Source organism: Homo sapiens, chromosome 19 (assembly GCF_000001405.40).
Source record: "Homo sapiens chromosome 19, GRCh38.p14 Primary Assembly".
Taxonomy (NCBI): Eukaryota; Metazoa; Chordata; class Mammalia; order Primates; family Hominidae; genus Homo; species Homo sapiens.
This window is the reverse complement of record NC_000019.10, coordinates 27,980,875-28,003,882: the sequence shown is the minus strand read 5'-3', so window position 1 is coordinate 28,003,882 and position 23,008 is coordinate 27,980,875. Positions and strand designations below refer to the sequence as shown.

At 38.3% G+C, this 23,008-nt stretch overlaps 2 long non-coding RNA genes and 1 pseudogene across 6 annotated transcripts in view; 2 read left to right on the top strand and 1 right to left on the bottom strand.

Moving 5' to 3' along the window:
• Positions 1-23,008, bottom strand: part of LINC02987 (long intergenic non-protein coding RNA 2987) — a 231,539-nt gene that overhangs the window by 21,087 nt on the left and 187,444 nt on the right. Inside the window, exons 7-8 of one of the 2 annotated variants that reach the window (NR_146734.1) lie at positions 20,310-20,472; positions 17,381-19,241 (exon numbers count right to left, since the gene is read on the bottom strand). The exons of the other annotated variant lie outside the window; for it this stretch is intronic. This is a non-coding gene — a long non-coding RNA (long intergenic non-protein coding RNA 2987). Of the gene's footprint in view, positions 1-17,380; positions 19,242-20,309; positions 20,473-23,008 lie in introns of those variants that run through there. 2 annotated transcript variants of the gene reach the window in all.
• On the top strand, positions 3,504-20,659 carry LOC105372346 (uncharacterized). 4 transcript variants are annotated; one of them, XR_007067372.1, is made up of 4 exons: positions 3,504-3,651; positions 14,607-14,771; positions 16,876-17,101; positions 20,316-20,659. It is a non-coding gene; the product is annotated as an uncharacterized LOC105372346 (long non-coding RNA). The 4 variants fall into 4 exon arrangements; XR_007067374.1 differs by lacking the exon at positions 3,504-3,651 and adding an exon at positions 6,442-6,526; XR_935883.4 differs by lacking the exon at positions 3,504-3,651 and adding an exon at positions 13,914-14,256.
• LOC100419833 (zinc finger protein 709 pseudogene) lies at positions 20,545-21,141 on the top strand (annotated as a pseudogene).

The window sequence follows — 23,008 nt, the reverse complement described above, 5'->3', positions numbered from 1 at the left end:
AGTCTGTGGAGAGTGGCAGCTCTGGTCTCCCATCCTGTCTTGCCCACAACTGGCATGTTGGTGCCCATGGTGGGCCCTCAGCATGAGTGGCAACAAGACAGAGCCAGCAAGTACCCTACAGGCCATTGAGTTGCTGCTGAATTAATAGGCTGGCAACAGGTAGTTGCAAAAAGATTTGCCACTGAGTTTGATGAGACAGCTTTCTATGCCTAAGAGAGCCATGGCACAAGGAAGCCTTTCTGCCAAGAGACCATGACCTCCCTTGGTGTCTTGGCTACTTATGTCCAACACATTAAGAAGCTGTTTCCAAGAGTAAAATAAAGCAGTCAAGCCCAGCGGGGACCTGGTGAGAGCATCGTCTGTGTCTTGGGTGGGAGGGTCTTGGACAAGGCTGCAGGAGGCCAGCCTCTGCTCTCAAGTGCTTGAGATCCTGGGTGAGAGGCAGGTGAGCACTGGGTCCTCCGTAATGCAGGTGGCAGGGAGAGTGACAGGGGGTGTCAGCAGGAACACAGAAGCGCACAGGCAGGAGTCAACGCAGTGGAACTTGGTCCAGGGAACAAAGCTTCCTGCAGCTGAGTCTTGAGAAGTGAGTAGGATTTCCACAGGCCAGGAGGCTATGCCAGGCAGGGGGAATGATGCCAGCAATGACGAGGGACCTCTGTCTGGGGTGTGTTCCCAGGTGAAGCAACCAAGCTTCATTTCTGTAGGCAGGAAGAGCCTACAGTGACTGATCAGAGGCATGGCTGTGAGAAGAGCATTTGCGAGGGCTCTGAGAGCAGCGCTTTCTATTAATCACTTTTTCAATTCATCACTTAACTTCACTGTCTCTTCCAGACCAATGCGTGTGCTAAGCTGTCATTTATTTACTCACAACTTCCACTGAGCACCCGTCTGTGCCTGTGCTGTACTCTGTCCATGAGGCGAGCACGGGCTCTTTCCAAGGTCATGTGGGTGTGAATGACCTTTGGGCCTCACGCACCTTGCTCAGCTCCTGGTCCAGAGTAGACACCTACAATTATGTGTTGAAAAAATATCTTCATATCAGGTCTTCAGATCGTCAGTCAGACAATCTGACCCATCACTTAAGGTTCTCTTCCTCATCTTGTTACCCACATGGCAGGTGGGTTCAATGGCTTGTCAGGTGACGTCCAATGACCACAGCCAAGGCGGGTTCAACAAGGGGATTTTATGTGGCAAGTAAGGAGGACATCATGGATAGTTTTTAAGCAGTGCCTCCCAGAACAAAGGTGAAAGCTGGGCTTTTACTGGGCTGGCTAGCTGAGTCATTAATCGTAGAGATGGAGTAAAGGGTGTCACTGGTCATGTTCCACATACCTCGCATGTATAAAAAATGGTAAATGGGCTGGGTGTGGTGACTCACGCCTGTAATCTCAGCACTTTGGGAGGCTGAGGCAGGCGGATCATGAGGTCAGGAATTGTAGAGACCAGCCTGGCCAACATAATGCAACCTCGATTTACTAAAAATACAAAAATTAGCTGGGTGTGGTGGCATGTGCCTATAGTCCTGGCTACTTGGGAGGCTGAGGCAGGAGAATCATTTGAACCGGGGAGGCATAGGTTGCAGTGAGCCGAGACCACACCATTGCACTCCAGCCTGTGTTACAGAGCAAGACCCCATCTCAAAAAAAAAAAAAAAAAAAAAAAAAGTGAATGAGCTCCTCCCTCCCTGGGTGGGGATTTTAGTACGCTAACAAGGGGAGTTCTCCAAAGTTTATCTCCAATGCAGGCAACTCTGGGTCAAACCCATTCTTGTTTTCCAGGGCTGAGATTCCTCTTGGAAATTTTTGAAACAACTCTGGATGCAATCGTTACCAGTGGGTGCTTGTTCACAGTGCATGCACAGAAACCTGTGGACCATGGGTTAGGCTCTTGCAAGACTTCCCTGAAAGATTAGACCTGGTCACTAACAACATTTGTCTGCATTTCCCCTTGACAAGAAAGTCAACTGTGTGACCAAGCCAGGCTCTCCAACCAGTCTAGATTCAGAATGGTTCCTGGAAGAGAAAGCTTAGGAGTCGCAGCTTGAAAGGTACTTCAGAGATGTTGTATTTGTCTTCCAGCCATCTATTCTCCCTTCTGCTGGTGCCAGCACCTCGATTTGCCTTGATGAATCATCCTCCTGTTGGTCTCAGACAATGTGGGTCTGGTGCCCAGCTCCTTCCTGTACACACCAGCTTGAGCAGTTGACAGCTGACTCAAGATGACAACTTTGCCATCCCATGACCCTCGAGGCTGCTTCAGGACCATGCATATTAAATAGGTCAGTCTACTATGGACCAATCCCACACATTTTTCTAGAACTGGGAAACGGGACATTGTCTTGTCTTAGGAATTGAAGCCAGTAAGGCTTGGTGGCTTCAATCTTGGTGGACTCCCCAAGAATTTGGCCAAGCAGCAAAAATAGAACCAGGAGATGGAGATGGCCAGGGTTTGATTAGAGTTGGGGAAAGGCTTTAGGTGGCTCTCCTGATGTGGCAGTTTCTAAAGAATAAGGATAGTTTTAGGTAATAAGAAAGAGACCCCTGGCTAAGCTGTAGTGCCAAGCATGCTGTCTGGTTACCAAAAGCATGGCTGACCAAAACCTTCTTCCAGAGTGGCCCTGGGAAATATTAGTGGGGGATTTACTGAAGGAAGAACTACACTGAGAGACTTCCATCCCAAAGTTGCAGCAATGGCAGATTTGGGCAAAAATAATAGAAAAAAAAAAGAAAAAAAAAACAGTGTAGTGTGTCTCAAATTATTCCACCTCTCTCCATCTCTATCACCACTACAAGCGTTTAGTCCACTGTTGCCTCGCCCTGAAAGACTAAAACCATCCTCAGTTTTCATCCACATCCTCCTGTCTTCCATTCTCCACAGTGCATCCAGAATCATCTTTTTAAAATACACATTCCGTTAAGTCACTTTCCTGCGTAAAATCCTCTGATGACTTCTCATTCAAATGAGACTAAAATCCAAATTCCTTACCAAGGCCTGTTTGGCCCTAAAAGACTTGTTCCCAATCTCCTCCTCTACCTCATTTCATGTGACTAAAACCCAGCCACGATGGCCTTTATTTTGTTTTTCAAAGACATCAAGCTCCTTCTGACCCTATGGCTTTGTTCTTGTGGTCCCTGTCACCTGGAATATACTCTCTCATACTTTCCTCATAGCTGAATTCTCAACCTTCTGTCCCAGCTAAAATGCCACCTCCTCAAAGAGTTCTTCTCCACCTCAATTAGTTTTTAACCTGGGTAACTCTGATAAATTGTTTTGTGACATTCAAAAATGTAACCATAGTGGCTCTAAATAATTGAAAGTCAGCTATGCAAAAATAGAGATTTTGTCTTTCCTTGTCAACAGCAGTTTTTTGAGGTCTTAGAAAGAGTTCCATATTCCATATTCAGTTAGTATTTGTTAGATAAGTGGCTGGAGGCTGACTGGATGGCTAAATGGTGATTGGACAAACAATGGTGATTGTCTATGCAATGTAGTTCCTACACGCTACTGAAAGCAGCCACCCTCAACCAGAAGCACTGGACTTAGGAAAGTTTGAAACCAAAGAATCTCCAGCTCTTAGAGCCACAGAGCACTTGGCAAGAAACAGGCTTCTCAGCAGACTACCATCAAGTGTAGAAGCAGACAATTCAGGTGAGAGCCAGCACCTTCCATTGCAATGACATTAAATCTGCTGGTAGGTGCTTGCAATAAACATATGTGTGCATGTGTCTTTATAGGAGCATGATTTATAATCCTTTGGGTATATACCCAGTAATGGGATGGCTAGGTCAAATAGTATTTCTAGTTCTAGATCCTTGAGGAATCCCCACACTGTCTTCCACAATGGTTGAACTAGTTTACAGTCCCACCAACAGCGTAAAAGTGTTCCTATTTCTCCACATCCTCTCCAGCACCTGTTGTTTCCTGACTTTTTAATGATCGACATTCTAACTGGTGTGAGATGGTACCCTAGAACTTAAAGTATAAAAAAAAATCTGGTAGGAACAAGTGCAAGGCGCCTTAGTTACTCATACCTACTTGCATTGAGATGATGACTAACTTCCACATTGCCATGTTATGCAACATGTCTTATTTTCCTTCACATGGGATGGGTGATGTGCTGATGGCATGACAACTGCTACCAGCCAAAACCTTTGCATTTTGCTAAACTAAGCTTCATAAATGAAGGAGAAATGCTAAGAAAAGCAAATGCTAAGGGAATTTGTCACCATTAGACTGGACTTACAAGAAATACTAAAAAGAGTTCTAAAGATAAATATGAAAGAGCAAAATTTGCCATCATAAAAGCACACGTAAGTAAAAAGTTCACAGATCCTATAAAGCAATTCTACAACTGTTGCTACAAAACAACCAGGTAACATTACAACAACAACAGAATCTCACATATCAATATTACCTTTTAATGTAAATGGCCTAAATGTTCCAATTAAAATATACAGAGTGGCAAATTGTATAGAAAAAGTAAGATTCAAACATTTGCTGCATACAAGAGATGCATGTTAGAGGTAAAGACAACCAAGCCTCAAAGAAAACTGATGGGAAAAGATATATCATACAAATGGAAAACCAAAATGAGCAGAAATAGCCATACTTATATGACATAAAACAGACTTTAAATCAACAGCAGTAAAAAAAGACAAAGGAGATTATTATATAATGATAAAGGGCTCAATTCAACAATAAGATATAACTATCTAAATATGAACCCAACACTGAAACATTCATATTTATTAAACAAATGCTGATAGAAAAGAGATAGACAGTAATACAATAAGAGACTAACGCCCTTCTGACAACACTGACAACAGAATATCTCAAATTAACAACATAATGTTGCACTGCAACGAGTTTAAAAAACAAAAACAAACAAAGCCTAAACCTAGTGGATGAAAAGAAAGAACAAAGATCAGAGCAAAACCAATGGGATTGAGAACAAAAAAAGATAAAAGGATCAACAAAATGACAAGTTTGTTTCTTGAAAAGATAAACAAAATTGACAGATTGCTAGCTACACTAAACAAGAAAGAGAAAATTCAAATAAACACAACCAGGAAAGATAAAGGTGACAATACACCTGATACCACAGAAATACACAAGATCACTAAAGACTACTGTGAGCATCTCTAAGCACACAAACTAGAAAACCTAAAGGAAGTGAATAAATTCTGGAAGCATACAACCTCAAAAATAAACCAGGAAGAAACAAATCCTAAACATACCAATAACATTTAATGAAATTTAATCAGTAGAAAAAAAATCTCCCAACAACAAAAAACAAAACCAGGCAGATTCATAAATTTTTCCAGATATACAGAGAAGAGCTGAAACTATTTTGCAGAAACTATTCCAGAAAATTGAGGAAGAGAGATTCTTCCTCAACTCATTCTATGCAACCAGTATTGCTGTAATATCAACATCAGGCAAGAACACAACAACAAAAACTACAGACCAGTATCTTTGATGAACAAAAATCCAAAGATCCTCAACAAAATTAGCAAACCAAATTCAACAGCACATCAAAAATATAATATATTATAATCAAGTGGGTTTTATCTCAGGGATTCAAGATGGCTTACCATATCCAAATCAATAAATGTGATTCACCACATAAACAAAATTAAAAACAAAATCATATGATTATCCCAATAGCTGCAGAAAAAGTATTTGATAAAATCTAATACCCCTTCATGATTAAAAATAATCTTAACAAATTAGCATAGAAGAAATATATCTCCAAATAATAAAAGACACATACAACAAACCATAGCCAACATCATACTGAATGGGAATAAGGTGAAAGAATTTCCGTGAAGAGCTGGAACTGGTCAAGAATGCACACTCTCAACCATTCTATTTAACTTAGTATGTCAATTCCTGACCAGAGCAATTAGGCAATAAAAAGAATTAAATAGCAAAAAACTGGAAAGGAAGAAGTAAAATTTTCTCTGTTTGCAGATGTCATAATAATAAACATAGAAAAATGTTACAACTCCACCAAAAACTATTAAGACTAATAAATAAGTTCAATAAACTTACAGAATAATCACATAAAACATTAATGTAAACGTGATTAACAAACATAACTTGTTTTTCTATACACAAATAACAAACTATCCAAAATAAATTAAGAAAACAATCCAAAGACAATAGCATCAGAAAGAATACATATGAATAAATTTATCCGAGGAGGTGAAAGATTTGTACATTGAAAACTATAAAACAGAGATAAAAATCTTAAGAAAAACATAAATAAATGGTGTGTATCTTATGTTTACAAATTTGAAAACTTGTTAGTGTTAAAATGTCTATACCACCCAAAGTGATCTACAGATTGAATCTAATCTTTACCAAAATTCCAATGGAATTTTTCACAAATATAGAAAAACAATCTTTGTATGAAGTCACAAAAGACTCCAAATAGGGCAAACTTGAGGAAGAGAAGAAAGCAGAAGGCAGCACACTTCTTGATTTCAAGCTTTACTATAAGGTTATAGTTAACAAAACGGTATGCTACTGGAATTTTAAAAAGACACAAAGACCAATGGAACAGAATAGAGAACCCAGAATACAGAGTCATCTGCAAACAGAAATAATTTGACTTCCCCTTTTTCACTTTGGATGCCTTTTATTTATTTCTCTTGATGACTGCTCTAGCTTAGACTTCTAGCACTATGTTTAAAAGAAGTTGTGAGAGTATGAATTCTTGTTCCAGTTATCAAAAGAAATAATTTGAGCTTTTGCCCATCAGTACGATGTTAGTTGTGGGTTTGCCATAGAAAGTTCTTATTAGTTTGAGTCATATTTCTTTGACGCCTAGTTTGTTGAGGGTTTTTATCATAAGGGATGTTGAAATTTATCAAAAGTTCTTGCTGCATCTATCAAAACGATCATTTTTTGTTTTTAATTCTGTTTATGTGGCAAATTCTGTTTATTTATTTGCATATGTTGAGCCAGTCCTGTATCCAAGATATAAAGCCTACATAATCATGGTGAATTAACTTTTGAATTTGGTGCTGGATTTTGTTTGCTAGTATTTTGTTGAGGATTTTTGCGTCTATGTTAATCAGAACATTGAATTTTATGTGTGTGTGTGTGTATGTCTTTGGCAGATTTTTATTACCAAAATGATGCTGGCTTCATAGAATAAGAATGATTTGAGTAAACTAGGTAGAGTTGGTCAAATATGATGGGAGAAAGACCACGACAACAAACAAACCCAACAATATGATTACTGAGCACTCTAATGGTAAGGAGAAATTAAGGCCAGCTGGTTGTTAATCTTTTCCTAGAAGCAGGAAGAAACAACTCACCTTCTTTGTTGAAAGCGAGCTGAAATTCCAGGAAGTAGTTGCCTGCACTTTTTTGTCACAGAAGCAGAAAACTTGTCTTCCCTTTTTGGAAGCAAGTAAAACTCCAGAAAAGAAGTTGTACAGCAAAATAAACTTCAGATCTTGACCAAATTTTGGGAAATCAAAAATTCTCTGGAGTGGGGAGATAGCTCAAACTGGTACCAAGCATTGATAGATTTGTCAAAGGTCAGGGACACCTCCACTCAGAATCCTCTATGGTTACCAACTTGTAAAGCAAAAAGTATCTGAGACAGGTCTCAATCAATTGAGAAACTTTATTTTGCCAAAGTTAAGGATGCGCACCACGGAGCCTCTCTCATTGCTAGCACAGCAGTCTGAGATCCAACTGCAAGGCGGCAGCGAGCCTGAGGGAGGGGAACCTGCCATTGCTGAGGCTTGAGTAGGTAAACAAAGCTGCCTGGGAGCTTGAACTGGGTGTATCCCACCACAACTCAAGGAGGCCTGCCTGCCTCTGTAGACTCCACCTCTGGGGGCAGGGCATAGCCGAACAAAAGGCAGCAGAAACCTCTGCAGACTTAAAGGATGCATCCATGCAACAACTTCGGGAGGGCCTGATAAACAGTCTCGCTCTGTCACCCAGGCTTGAGTGTAGTTGTGCCATCTCAGTTCACTGCAAGCTCCGCCTCCTGGGTTCACGCCATTCTCCTGCTTCAGCCTCCTGAGTAGCTGGCTACAGGCACCTGCCACCACATCTGGCTATTTTTTGTATTTTTAGTAGAGACGGGGGTTTCACCGTGTTAGCCAGGATGGTCTCGATTTCCTGACCTCGTGATCTGCCTGCCTCGGCCTCCCAAAGTGCTGGGATTACAGGCGTGAGCCACTGTGCCGGGCCATAGCTTGCTTTTATACATTCAAGGGAGGCAGAATACATCCATCAATACATGTAAGATTAACATTGATTCAATCTGGAAGGATGGGATGAGTCAAAGTGGTGGGGGAGGGGGTGCTTTTAGGTCCTAGGTAGATTTAAAAATTTTCTGATTGGCAATTTGTTGAAAGAGGTATTATTAGTAGTAAGGAATGTCTGAGTTCCAATAAGGGATTGCAGAGACCAAGGTTTTATTAGGCAGAGGAAGCCTCAATAAGCAGGCCTCAGAGAGAATACATTGTAAATGTTTCTTATCAGACTTAAGGTCTGTGTTTATGTTAATGCTGCAAAGGTAGTGTAGTGCTACCTCTAGCACTACACTGTTTCTTTCCTTCTGAGAAAGCCTGTGTTTTGATGAGCACACACATACACACACACACACATACACACACACACACACACATACACACACACACACACACACACACAGAGAACTTCTTTGCTATTAGATAATTTGGTTTGCTTTACTAAACTGTTCAACCATTCCTTCATTCATATTTGAAAGCCTATATAATGATACACACACACACATAGACACAAACAGAGATTTCTTTGCTATTAGAATTTTTTAAAAAATTTGTTTAAGCATTCATTCATGAAGGATTTGAGGTGATTACTGGACAAGAGAGTGGCAGTGCATCAGCAAGCAAAATACCAATGACCAAGATTGAGTGAGTGCTAAATTTAGAAAGATAAAATTGCTACTGCAATTAACATTTGAGGAAACCTACCTGGAAAAACACCTGGAGTCTAGGCATTTGGATTTAATTTACACCAAAATTGGAAAAGTAATGTTTAAGCCTAGGTCAATTTTTACTTTGTGGATATTGAGTAGATAAATGTATACTTTCCACAGGCAATTTGAACATTTTTTATGGGGAACAGCGGGGGTTGAGGGAAAAAGTTAGTACTATAGTTTTAAGGACTCTCAAAAGCTCTTAACATTTATATATATATATATGTATATATATGCCTGCTCTTACACAACTCATCCTCTGAATCATAATTAAAATTTCAGTGGCCACAACAAAACCTACTACACATAGCTACAGAACTTTAGCCTATCTTATTTATTCTTCGAGGAAGAAGCCCCTTACTCGTATTTTGAAACAGATTGCCTGTCTGGGCAACAGTTCCTCTTCTGTTTTTCAGATGAGAATCTCTGGTCACCTTGAACTTTCCCCTCGTCTAGTATGTATTCCCACAATGTATGTAGACTGCCCTGCCTCCTTCAGTTATGCTGCCTAATTTGGGTGTTCCCTCTTTTCTTTGTGGAGAAATCTAGAAATGATGCACGGTTCCCTAATACTGTGGAATGAAGTAGATAAAACTGATTTATTTATTTTTAGATTTTTAAAAAAAATTTTGGCAACATGCTAAACCTAACAACAATTAATTCACTCAGAAATAAGACAGTTTTAGAAAACATGCTAACCCCAAGGGCAGGCAGTATAAATCATGGTCTTTGGGATCTAGTTCCAGACTAACTTTCAGAGGCACTTAAAGAAAATTCTCATCCCTGCTATCCCTCTATTCCCTCATTCCCTGAAAGACACAAAGATAAAGGCCATCTGCTTCCCTGAAGTCTACCATCAGCCTCCCTAGGGAAGAGAAGCTGGATTTACAGCCACCCCCATTTCCATCCATATAATTTGCATTTGATTATGAAAACTAGTTTTACTCATAAAAATACTTGTAAAATAAAAGGTTATGGGGTGGTACAGCAACTCCTTTACAGCTAGCTTTGTAAAAGTGGGGACAGACTTAGACACAGTGGAGTTTCATATGGACAGCTTGAGGGCTGTCACTTTCACAGCGTGATTCTCAGCAATGTCTCACTTCGTAGACAAGGGGATGAGAATTCAAATAGGTTATCTAAAGAAAGTAATGGGAACTCTCAGTGAATCAGTTGACCAGATTTTCAGGAGTCTTTTTTTTTTTTTAATTTCACCCATTGTAATTGGGAAACTGTTCTAAAAATTCTTTTTAATCATCCTCTTATTTTTCTTCCTTTTCTCCCTCTCACCCCTCTATTCCTTCCCTCTCTAGAGTACCCTCCAAGCTTATCTAATTATGTTCTTGCTTAAGAAATGTCAGAAGGTAATCTTAGAACAAGTAAGGCATGGAGTCCCTGTGAAATTCTCCTGCTTAGGGGGAGTCACAATTAGTCCATCACATTAAGGCCAAAGTCAAGATAACACCAACCAGGCCTCCAGTTGGGTGATTAACCCTGACAGCCATCGCAACAAAGACACAGATGCTGCACTCCACACGGCTCCCACATGTCTCCCATAGCAAGTTTTTCTTTAAAAACCCTATGGTAATATTTAAAAATCTGTGATGGTATTTTAGAAAGCTAGTTTGCCATCCTTGGGGTTTGCTGCCTCTGATTAAACCTGCTTTTCCTTCCACCAACCCTCACCTCTCATGTCTGGCTTTTAAGTGGTAAGCAGCTGAGTCTGGTACAACCTCATATTTTGAAGTTAACTGGGAATTAACTGAAATTAACTGGAAATATTTTTTCTTGGTGCCTTATTGGTATGTGTTTGCAAACTTTTGTCATATTTTCACGTGATCATTGCCAGTGAACTGGTCCTGGGTGTGTGGTGTAACTGATGCATGTACAAGCTTTAAATAACATGCCCACGGCACTATTTCAAAGTTAGCATTCTTTAGGCTGTTTCGTCCTGTTTTGTCACACACCAAACCTCAATAACAGCATCCATGACCTGCACTCTCCAGTAGAGAATGGAAACCTTAGAGCTAGGACATGCAGTTACATTTTAATAAAACGGCTATTCTTGCCAAAGGAGCTTCTTTCACTTTTGTGCTCTACAGAAAGACCAAAGGGAGTAGCAGACACAGAACTTTGAATAACTGCTTTCTAACCCAAATGTGTCCAATGAGACAGAAAACAGCACTCATCTCAGCAGGTGTGAGGGAAAGTGGCTGAGAGATGCCTGCCTCTTCTGCATGACCCCTTTTTTCTCCAAAACCCAATCAGGTCATCCTGGAAAAGAAATCTTAACTGCATTAAGGGGAAATGGTTTTGTATGAACAGACTACCAAGACATTACAGAAGCATGAGGGTAGGCAGGTGGGAAGTAACTCACCTGACTCAAAACTCCCAAAAGTTTCTAGTAGCTTGATGACAATTACAATATTTATTTTAGCCAGATTAATGTTCATCTGTGGTATATCATTTTACAACAATGTGACTTCATAGCCTAAGCAACATAGCGAAACCCTGTCTCTACTAAAAATAAAAAAAATTAGCTGGGCATGGTGGTGTGCACCTGTAGTCAAAGCTACTTGGGACGCTGAGATAAGAGGATTGTTTGACCCTGGGAGGTCAAGGCTGCAGTGAGCCATGATCATGCCACTGCACTCCAGCCTGGGTGACAGAGCAAGACCCTGTCTCAAAAACAAAACAAAATAAAACAAAACCATAAAACAATATGACTTCATGTTTCTAAAAACTGAATGTATAGTATATATGCTTTGTAGATGGGTGTGTATCTACAGAGTATATATGATATAGATGAAATATTTTGTGACTTTTGATATGAGGTTGGTACAGGTGGATTTATTAGTGAGCCAAATGAAGCACATACCAAGTCAACGGTTCAAGTCCAGGCATTCAATGCTCTTTATGATTTCTATACATGTATCGTACCCATCCCATGCAGTGTAGTCACTGTCATGCTAACTCCAGAACTTACATGTCAGAGCCAGTGATGTATTTGTAGATAATCAACTTTGAACACTTAAATTTTTACTGGCAGATGATAATTATAAATCTGAATACTAACAATAACAACAACAACAAAACCCAGAGCATCTTGATTAGGAATTTTTTGTTCCTCGGAGTCAGTAGAATGACTATGTGGTTATGTTAGTCTCAAAATGTTTAATTAGTTGATACTGTTATTGCAAAAATTTTTGTATGTATTCTGTTTGTAGTAAGGAAAAAATAACAGTTTGAGCTTTTTTAAAAATCAAATATAAAGACTAGTTATGACAAAAAGTCTTTTTGTTCCTTTATTCTCAATTAATATAGATTAATTTTAAAATGCATTAAAGCAATAGTGAAGAAAATAAAAAGATGCCATGGAAGTCTTTTTCTCGTCATGTTTCTATGAAGAAATACACTTCTTTTAAAGAATATCTGGGGAGAGATGTAGATTTTAACTTTATAATCAGATTTTTCAGATGTACTTAAATATAAGCAGAAAAATTTTATAAACAAGTAAAATTAAGCAAATTCTAATCACCAGAAGCAGAACTAATTAAAACATGTTTTAATCGAAAATACTTCCTAGGTTTCTCCTGCCAATCTTAATTATTCATTTGAAGAAATAAAGAGGGACATGAAAAAAAGTTATTTCCTGAGATTGCCTTCTATTTTATGAGCCCTTCATTTACACTGAAATCATCTGAATAGACATGGTGCTCTTTTGTGTGTCTGGCTGGAGGACAGAAACTTCTACAGCTTTTTAATTCAGCAGTTGTATCCATAATTTGCTGTCAAACTCTAAAGTCAGGGAGCCCAGATGAGAACGTAGAAACTGATTGAAAGTAGATTTCTCCCTTAAAATCTAGAAGGATGCTTAGTGAGCCTGAGAGTACTGTCAGACCACCTTCTGCTGATTTCTCTTTGGCAAAATAAAGATTAGCCACCAATCTACCAAATGCCACCTCATTTTAATGCCTGGTATATCCACATTCTCCATCAATGATCCCAGACATAAGTGTGTGGGAGACACAACTATGTGAGTAATTAGGAGATTAAAATGTTTGGGGGAGGCAACATAAATCCAGGAAGAGGTGAATTAGCAATATGGGAGCATGGAATTCTATGTCAAGGTGGGTGACATGGGTGGGTGCTGTCACTTCATTCAATTGGTACATAAGGCAGTTGGGAGAGGCAGATTAGAAAATATAATAGTTGAGCTGAATCCTAAGAGAAGAGCAACTGTCCCTTCCATGTTCAGGACTTTACAGTCAGCACATCTTCCCCATGCTTTCTCATTGCTCATTCATCCCCAGTGGAAAAGCAGGGGAGGCAAAGTCTGTATGCTGAAGCAGAAAGACTGTTTGTTGGACTTAGAAAGTTACAGAAATAGGTAGGCCTAGGATAATATTATTGGCAATAATGCTGCTTTTAGTGCTTTACCTACAGAGCTTTTTAGCTCACTGTGGATAGAAATAGGGTTGATGGAGAGTGGTTATGAACATAGACTTGGGAGCCGGGCTGATTGGGAATTCAAGTCCCAGCTCCACCTTTTCTGAGCAGTGTGATCCTGGATGCCTCAGCTCCTACTATTTCAGCTTTCTCATCAGGGAAAAAACAGATAATAATAGTACTTACATCATAGAATTCAGAAGGTTTAACAGATTAACTCAGGTTAAGTTAGGTAGGTGAAACAAGGGAGAAGCAACTGTTCAGACATGGAATTAAAGGGAATTGAGAAGAGGAGGATTTAAAATTTGAGGCTGTATAACAATCATTTAGGTTGCCTCTTAAAAATTTAGATTCCCAGGCCTCAGCCCCAGGCATTGAGACTCAGTAGTTCTGGGGCCCAAGAGGCCATTTTATAAAAGTAAATTTACAAAAAGTCGCCAAAATAACTCAGAGTTTCTGAATACCATTGCCAGTTTTCCCCTAATGCGAACATCCGAACATCTTATTAACATGGCACATTTGTTAAAACTAAAGTCAGTGTTGACACATTACTCTTAACTCCAGACGTCATCAGATTTCCCACTCAAGTTCTTTATCTGTTCCAGGATCAAATCCAGGATACCACACTGGACTTAGAAAATCTTCATTTTTCATAAGCTCTTTCAGTGGAAGAGAGGCAGGGGAGCTGAGGACCACATTTTGAGAAAACACTCAGACATTCAGAGAACCAAACCAAAATTGCTACCTCCCCAAGTTGGGGAGGTAAGTGCAATTTTAAGGAAGATAATTGATGGAGCAGGTGTAAATAAAAGGTTAATTTTAGAGTTAGAAGTGGAATGCTTTCCATTAGATGGGAGGGGGTTACCTTCAGAACAAGGAATTTCATGCCAGAGGAAATAGTTGGTTTTGGAAGGTGGGGGTGCAACCTCAACCTCAGTCTAGATTGAGAATACATGACGAGGGTTGTGAGTAGGTCAGGAGAATAGGTAAGTGCAGCAAGTTGGGAAGAGCTGCTTTGGAGAACACAGGATTCACATAAGTGATGAAAGGGAGTTACAAGGGGTCAGTTAGTCTGTAAGCCACATACAGCCTGCATGCTCTGGAATCCGGTGCTAATAATGCTTTGGCAGTGGGTCATAATGACCAACATCAAACATTGCAGAAAAAGCAAGGATAACGCTGGAAGAATTTTGTTTAAAGAGGGTCCTAAGGGTCTTGGGTGAAGCAGCTGGTGAAAGAGAAGGTGGAAAAACACTTGAAGCTCTACCTGTGGAAGAGTCAGTTATCACACCAAGGAGACACAGGAGCCACCAGCTTGGGCTGACAGGTAAGAGTTTGTAGAATAGACAAGGTGGAAAAGACAAAGCGATTTTTCTTACAAGAAGGTAGCAGCCTAATTTGAGAATCAGTGGAGGTCTTTTGAAGAAGATACTACTGGTATTTTATTAAAGACCTTAAATTCTGGTACTATCACTGAATTTTCCTAATCACATTAAAATTGCTTAGCTCCCTTACAGCAGTTGTAAGAATCACCTAACCTGTTCCTCTTTAAAGAATATTAACGTTATTTCATTGGACTCAAGATTCTCATAATTTTTATTCTATTTCACTTTCCCAGTTAGTTTTTCTTCTTGTACCCTGGAGATCCTAAACCACAAGCTGATATTCTTAAAATTTATTTCACATTAAGTGCATGTTCTGACACTTGCCGAACACATTTAAAATAGTTGAATGGAAATTGCCTTAGAAACTTGTGTTATAGGGGTGCAGACTTCACTGAAGGGCTCCTACATCTTTTGCCTTGCCTGCTGGCACAATGTCAGGCCCAATCAGGTCTGGAAGTGGCTGTTGAGTAGATTTAAGTTTAATCCTTAACTTGATAGATTCTGGGCGTACTCTACAGATCCTGCGTAGAAACTAGCACTTACCTGGGAGATTTCTCTGCCGTCTGTGAAATCATTTTCCAAGTAGTTTCATATTCAACAATGCTGTGTGAAGGAACAGTCAGGCCACAGTCATCTTAAATGTGCTTAGGGAGAAGCCTTTGCTGACGAAAAATTCAAGCTAACTTGCATACTGCAGCTAAACTAGTTTCCAGAAACACTGCATGAGCTGAATACAGAACAAAGAATGATTTGATTTTTGGTTAAAATTGGCTTTGGCATTTTTTTTTAAATCAAGAAATAGAGTATTTAGAAATGTAAAAAAACTAGGTCAAAAATGAACCTTGAATTGTGATAAAATTGGGATTTAGTGTTGTTGGATTTTAATAACATGTGGGCATATTGGTTACATAAAGAGGAAATGTGAAGGAAAGGGCCGGGATAAGATTTCTCCAGAAACACTGAGCTCTAAGCAGTCACCTTAGGGTGAACCACATGAAATTGCCATTAGACAACCATTTTTGACTTATAAGAATGGCAATTTCACTTGGTTCAAATGTATATTTCAAATCTTTGTCTTTTCCTTGTAATGATGTAAAAGTTCAGTTCACAATATACTGGAGTTAAAATTTCACTGGTGGCTGTATTACAACAGTTGAAATATTTCCTAGATATCAAACTATAAGAAAACTGCCATAGTTGCCACTGTACTAGCAGCTTGGTTTCCATGCTCAGCACGGATGATAAGCCACACATGCAGACTCTTTTAGATAGTTCACAGTTCCAGCTACTTTGGCTGAGGTTCACACTGCCAGGTTCTGGGGCCCTGCCACCTCACATTCTCACATAACATTTGTCAGAAAACCTACCCACTTTCAGTGACATTTATATTCTTATCCTAAGTTGACCCAATTTCCCAATTATCAAAATGACTGTGTTGCCTTCTAGAATTCAAGCCAAAGGGGAGAGCAATGTTACTGATTTTTATTCTACTGACTTACTCCTGAAGTCACAAATTCATGTCCAGTTCTTCTCTCCCAAACTGTTTTTTGAACCTTTGACCACTCATATATGTCAGGATTTCTGCTTATTGTCATATTATATGCTGCAAACTTTCTTATAAACAGTAATTTATAAATATTTTCTTTTAAGTTAAATGAGATCATTGATTTTAGTCAGCACTTTATCAAGATAAGGTGATAAGTTATTTAAAATTTTACCTTAGGTACTAAAGAATTAAAGATTTAGTGAGAATCACTGAAGCTGAGTGGCTAGACTCTTAGTTCTAAAAAACAACCTAACTGATTTGATATATTTTTAACTAAAATGTAAGCTTGAAAACAGTGTGCGAAAGTCAAATTATGTGGTTTGTCACCCTCTGTACAGCAACACTAATTCTACTTTTTGTACTTCCAATTTTTTTTCTGTGTAATTGAATACTTCAAACACCTCTTGTTCTAATTCTGTACTATTTCTGGAAATCCTTTCTCTTTTGTATATTTACATAATTTTATATCCTAATAAGCATATTATGCTTTTTTCTCACAGGCACAATAACCATTTATTCAAAGATGCCATCTAATGCACTATGCCACTAAGTACTGTGGCTGGACAGTGATTTTAAGTGTAACAAATTATCTTCACTTTGAAAAGAGCTTAAGAGAGAGAAAACAAATATTACATCTTAAACAGAGGCATGAATCAAACCAACTTATGAACGGTGAAAGCAACTTATCAAAATGTCTTCGGACATATCAAGACTGACTTAAACCATGTAAGTTAGGCAGATATGTAACATAATGTAATTACAAGTGTTATGAACACATTGGTCACATTTTAATTAAAACAGTTTATCAGGTTTTATTTTAATGTAAACATGAGAAATAAAAACCACATAAATTATAGATAGCATTTATCATTTGAAAATAAAACTGCAATAAATACTTAAATCTCCAAGCTCTAAACTCCATAAACAATAATTTTTGAGGAAGTAAGATTTCTAAGGTTTATGGAAGTTCTTTTTTGTAAACAGCAGGACATGAAATATAATACCTGTAGCCAGGCTAACAGGTGGGATAATAAAATGTTTAATCACCTGCTACTATTAGGGTCCAATTCCTTCTAATCTGTTACATGTAAATTAACACTGATCATATTCTTCCTTTACCACATGTAGGGAAAATAATTTTAGGTGATCAACGTAGATAACAGCCCTGCTAAGAACTACTTTAAAAGAGAAGAGGGCACTTTATAAAAATACAAGAATTCCAAAAGTCTTAGTGTAATTTTAAGCTTTGATACTTGTACAAGTATCAGTGCTACAAACATTTACAAAACATCATTGGAAAGTTTATTATATTGCTTATACATGTATTTAGTTTTGCAATTCTTTAAAGGCATAGGGTCTCACTATGTTGCCAAGGCTGTAGTGCAATGGCTATTTACAGGCACAATCATAGAGCACTGCTGCCTCCAATGCTAGGCCTCAAGTGATTCTCCCACTTAAGACTCATGAGTAGCTGGAACTACAGGCATGCCCAGCTCCTAAATATTAAGCTTTTAATTTTTTGTTTCAGCGTTTCTTGGAGACAGCAGATATTGACTGAAACAAAAAGTTAAAAGCTTAATATTCAGTTTTTGCAAAATAAAACCAGAGGTGGTGGTACTACACCTATAGTCCTAGCTACTTGGTAGGCTGACATGGGAGGATTGCTTGAGGCCAGAATTTCCAGGCTGTGGAGTCATGATTGTGCCTCTGAATAGCCATTACACTCTAGCCTGGGCAACATAGTAAGACCCCATCTTTTATAAAAAAGAAAAAATAAATACTATGAAACTTTTGAACGGTATTTTATAAAGGTTTATAGCATATATACATAAGCTGCCGTGCACTGGAGGGTCTAAGCACACTACATTAAAACTAGAATCTGCCCTGAAACTTTCAGATCACATCACTTATTATTATTTTTATATCACCACTGGATCATCATGTGGTTTGGCATTATGAAAATATCTCTCAATACATTTATTTAACAAATAAGAAAATTTATCAGCAAATAAAAAATAAGTAAATAAATAAATAAAATTCACACACACACACAAAAGGATCATTATAGTTTATAAGAAACATACCATGGACCCTAATACAAGTAGGTAACCAATAACTAATAGTTTTTCTTTTGTGACCCCAAACATGCTAAAATGCTAGCAAGTAATGCTTACAAAAGATATGAATGGCAAATGAACTCCATCAGCTTTTGTTTAAAATGATTGCCAGTGACGAGCAGCTCCGATGGTAAAAGTAGGCAGGTAGAACCCTTCAACACCTGAAAATGAGCGGTCTGCTTCTAGTGGCTTCATGAGTTATTACAGTCCCATGTTTTAATAGTAATACTGCATTTATTTTAAATGTGTCTGCAGCAATATTGGGGGAAAAGAAAAATAGAAAAGAAACAGAAAATTATGTCTGAAATCTAAAAATTTAAACTATTGTTTTAAAACCCTTACATAGTTCACAGCTATTAGTCCACACACAGAAAAAGATATCTATGTATGGGCAAGAAGTCTTCACTTTGGAGTAGTTTTTATACCTGTTTACGTTTAAAAAGACAGAAGAGTGTACGAGAGTTGTTGCACTGCAACGATCCCATTTTTTTCCTGTGGAGTGCAATCCTAGTTGCCCACAAGCCTCTCAACTTTGAGATTTTTCTTCTTTTGAAAATACTAACTTTTCTAGTTGTTGAGCATGAGAGGTAATATTTTCCGAACTTTTTTGATGAGGGGTTCACATGATATAGCCCCTCATTTCTTCCTTCAAGAGTTAATGGCTTTAGAGCGCTGAAGATTAATGAAATTATCAGCGCTGAAGGACCTTCACTATAAAAGATTTTGGCGTCTTCCATCCTTGAAATAGCCTAAGAAAGTAAATGAAACAGAAAAGAGGTACAATTTTAAAAAGGGCTCCAGCCTTTTAACAAGCACCATTGATGATAAGCCAGACATGCAGACGCTCCTTTAGATAGTTCACAGTTACAGCTCCTTTGGCTGAGGTTCGCACTGCCAGGTTCCGGGGATGCTACTCCCTGCCACCTCACTAAGGTAATCTCCTTTAAGGGCTATGATTAGATTGCTGGAGCAAAGGAAAATTTATAGTTTATTAATCTATTCAGAGTCTACCCCATCTGCAGTAGTTATTATATCCTCAAAGCAAATTTGAATGAAGCAGATGTGTGCAGGAGTGCACTGGAACATCAAAGAGGTCGAACGACTAAAGCAGCAAAAGGCAGAACCTGGCACATTAATTATGGTAGAAGGTATGTTATTCTAAAGTACTTCTAAGGTACCACAGAAAGTACTAATTATAAATATGCATCCATTTCAGTTGCAACTTTGCTCACAACTGAAACCAGAAGTCACAAACCATAAATATTGCTTTGCCCCCCAAAAGTTACCATTTCCAGTAAAACACATGTACTTCTTGCATCACTACCTGAGACGCTCATACCTTATACAGACTAAGTGTAGGTCTCTTGGCTTAAGCACTAATGCTTTGCCTAACAAATTTATGGAACTGGCTGCACTGTAATATATACAATAAAAAATGACATAAATTTGCAAACTAAGTAATAAAAAACAGGCAAAAGTGGTAAGTGCATTACATATGCAGATATCATTTAAAATAGAATTGCAAGAAATTATTCATGTATGCTTACTTGAAAGGGCAAAGATTCAAAAAGAATACCACTAAGACTGAATTAAATTTGGTTAAAAATATTCTGAATTATGGTCACAGAAGAGATCTATAATATTTAAATAATGTGGATTCTTGTATAAACCATAAATGATACAGGAAATAAGCTCTTCAGTATGTAAGTTAATTTTGGAGCTTTTCATTTTTCTCATCACTACTTAATCTAATCTAGTCACAGATGTTGGCTTTGGTGGTTGACAGAAAACCCCCCTTAGTGACTTTATCGCCTTACTTCCAGGTTCTGTGCCCTTTCTTTGTTGAGAAGATAAACTGGAAAATGCAAGCTATTGTCCTTTGCCAAGGATCGAAGATCAAAATAGTACTTGGCATAAACACTTCCAGAAACTTCGACGTTATAGTCAATTAGCTGCAAAAACTGTCTTTCAAGCTCATTCCTGTGGGAGGAGAAACACAAGAAAACCAACATGGGACAATGTTAGTCCACTGGGCTATCTTCAAAAACATTATTCTGATGTAAGAAATGTGATAAAGCAATTATAAGTTCTAGTTCTTTAAGAACACATGAAAAAGCACACACTAGAGAGAAACCCTATTATGTAATAAATATGGGAAAGCCTGGAATTTTCTCAGTTCTCTTTGAAAACTTAGAAAAACTCATACTGGGGGAAAAGCATAAATGTAAAACATGTGATAATAAACTTGATTTTCCCACTTGCTTTTAAAGACATTTTAGGATTTAAAATGGAGAAAAACCACAAAATTTTAAGAAACATGGTAAAGCCTTCGGTTTTTGTCATTTCTCTTTGAAAACATAAAAGGGTTCAATGAAGAAAAGCCTTATAAATACAAACATATGGTAGTGTTTTACTCGTTCCAGTTCCACCTGAAGACAAGAAAAAACTCATTTCTGAGGTAAAACCTATGAATGTACAGAATGTCAGAATGCCTTTAGTTGATATTCACTCAAAGACCCATGATATTACATGCTGTAGAGATGGACCTTATAAATATAAAAAAAGCACCCTGAATTGGAACCTCAGTAGTTTACAAAATACAAGAAAGTTTTCAATTTTAACATATTTTTCAAAAGTTGTGTGAAAACTCCCACTAGAAAATAATTCTATAAATGTTGCTAAAATGAAAAGTCTGATGCCAACTGATTATTTTATAATCCTCAAAAATGCACATAAATTTTATATGACTTTTAAATATTTTGTGTTTCTCAGTGGTTCCTTGTTACAGAATGTCTCTTCACTTTATATTTTCACTTCTTTTGCAAGAAAACATTAGGGTGAGAATTTTGTAGATACCCTTCAAACAATACTACATAAGTTTAGTTCATGTACTAAACATGTAGTGGTTTTTTTCTGTTGTCATTTAATAAAATTTATTTCTATTCATTTAAAAATATAATTCTGAGCTACTAGGATGTCTCTAAATTCTGTTTTGAAACAAATAAAGGCTACCCAGTTGGATTCCTATGCTAATGTCCAAACAAGGCACAGTTGCTTGCAGTCCCTTCTGCATCCAGCACCCTGACTCTGGGATGGGGAGAAAGGTGACCACCTCTCATGCATATGTGCTGCTGACTCGGGGCTCATTCTTGAGAGTTCCCTTAGTGCAGGTGCACAGCTCAGACTCCATGCTCACTCACAAGGCCCCACAACAGTGATCAGATGACAGGAATGATGAATGCCATTTATTAGCTCTGAAGAACTTGCAGACTTTTTCACAAGGATAACAAAAAGAGGCTTACTGAAGTCAAAAAACACCAACAAAAGCCATGGGTACAACACCATGGCAACAAATGGATCCATGGAGAGCCACCCTGTTATTTCTGAGGAGGAAAAACTCCAAAACAACAAGGATTGGTCTCAAATACATACATAAGCTACATTTGATGGGAAAGGGAATCCCTCCCCTCTGCCTCAGTGCATGAGGCTATGTCAAAGGGCATAACGCCAGTTTCTACTCACCTTGAAATTATGAAGGTGAGAAACTGTCACTAGACAGGACAGGAATACTCTTTAAACACTGGAAGGCAGAGAGATTAAAGAGAGACATCTTGGCTAGACTAAACTCACTTTATGATATGACTTCTGGCAGGGCACTGGACTTACTCAGTGTTTCTCCTGAGCTGGAAATAAAACCCTAAGGTGCTCAGCTTCTGTCACCCACAGACAGAACAGAATGTGGGGGATGAGTTGAAGGCAGTGGGAGAGATAAAGGCTGAGAACAGCCTTCTGTCACATGATCATAGAGCTGCCCTTGCCTATTTTTTTTTTTTGTTAAGAAACAGGGTCTCAGTCTGTCACTTAGGCTAAAGTGCAGTGACATGATCCTAGCTAACACCAGCCTCAAACTCCCGGGCTCAAGCAATCCATTTACCTAAGCCTTTCAAGTCACTGCGACTACAGGCTCATGCCACTGAGCTGGGCTAATTTAAAGGAAAAATTCAATTAAAGACAGGGTCTTTGTTGCCCAAGCTGGTCTCAAACTTCTGTGCTCAAGTGATCCTCTTACCTTGGCCTCCAAAAGTGCTGGAATTATAGGTGTGAGCCAGTGTACCTGGCTTCTTGTTAAATGTTTAAACAAATGAATATAAAATAATATAGAACCACTTTCACAGTAATCCCTGTAAAGACTTAATTGTATAAAAACAATCAATACCTGAACAACATATTTAGTTTCTTGGTTTTAAAGTTTTAATATCTTATCCACTGGCTAAGTCAACAAATGTTTGATGTTCTCTGGAAGAGCAGTTAAAATATGAGCAGAGATGTAGTTTTCTCATCTGTTTAACTGAAAACCCATCTGAAACTATTTCCAACATCAATTTCCTGTTCATATGACCGTAAGGCTATAGAAATGTAAATCAGACAATGTTTTAATAATCAGCTAATCAGGACTTTTGTATTTATTTGTTTTATATTATCTCACATTTTTCCATGAACACATTTTGACTGTGTA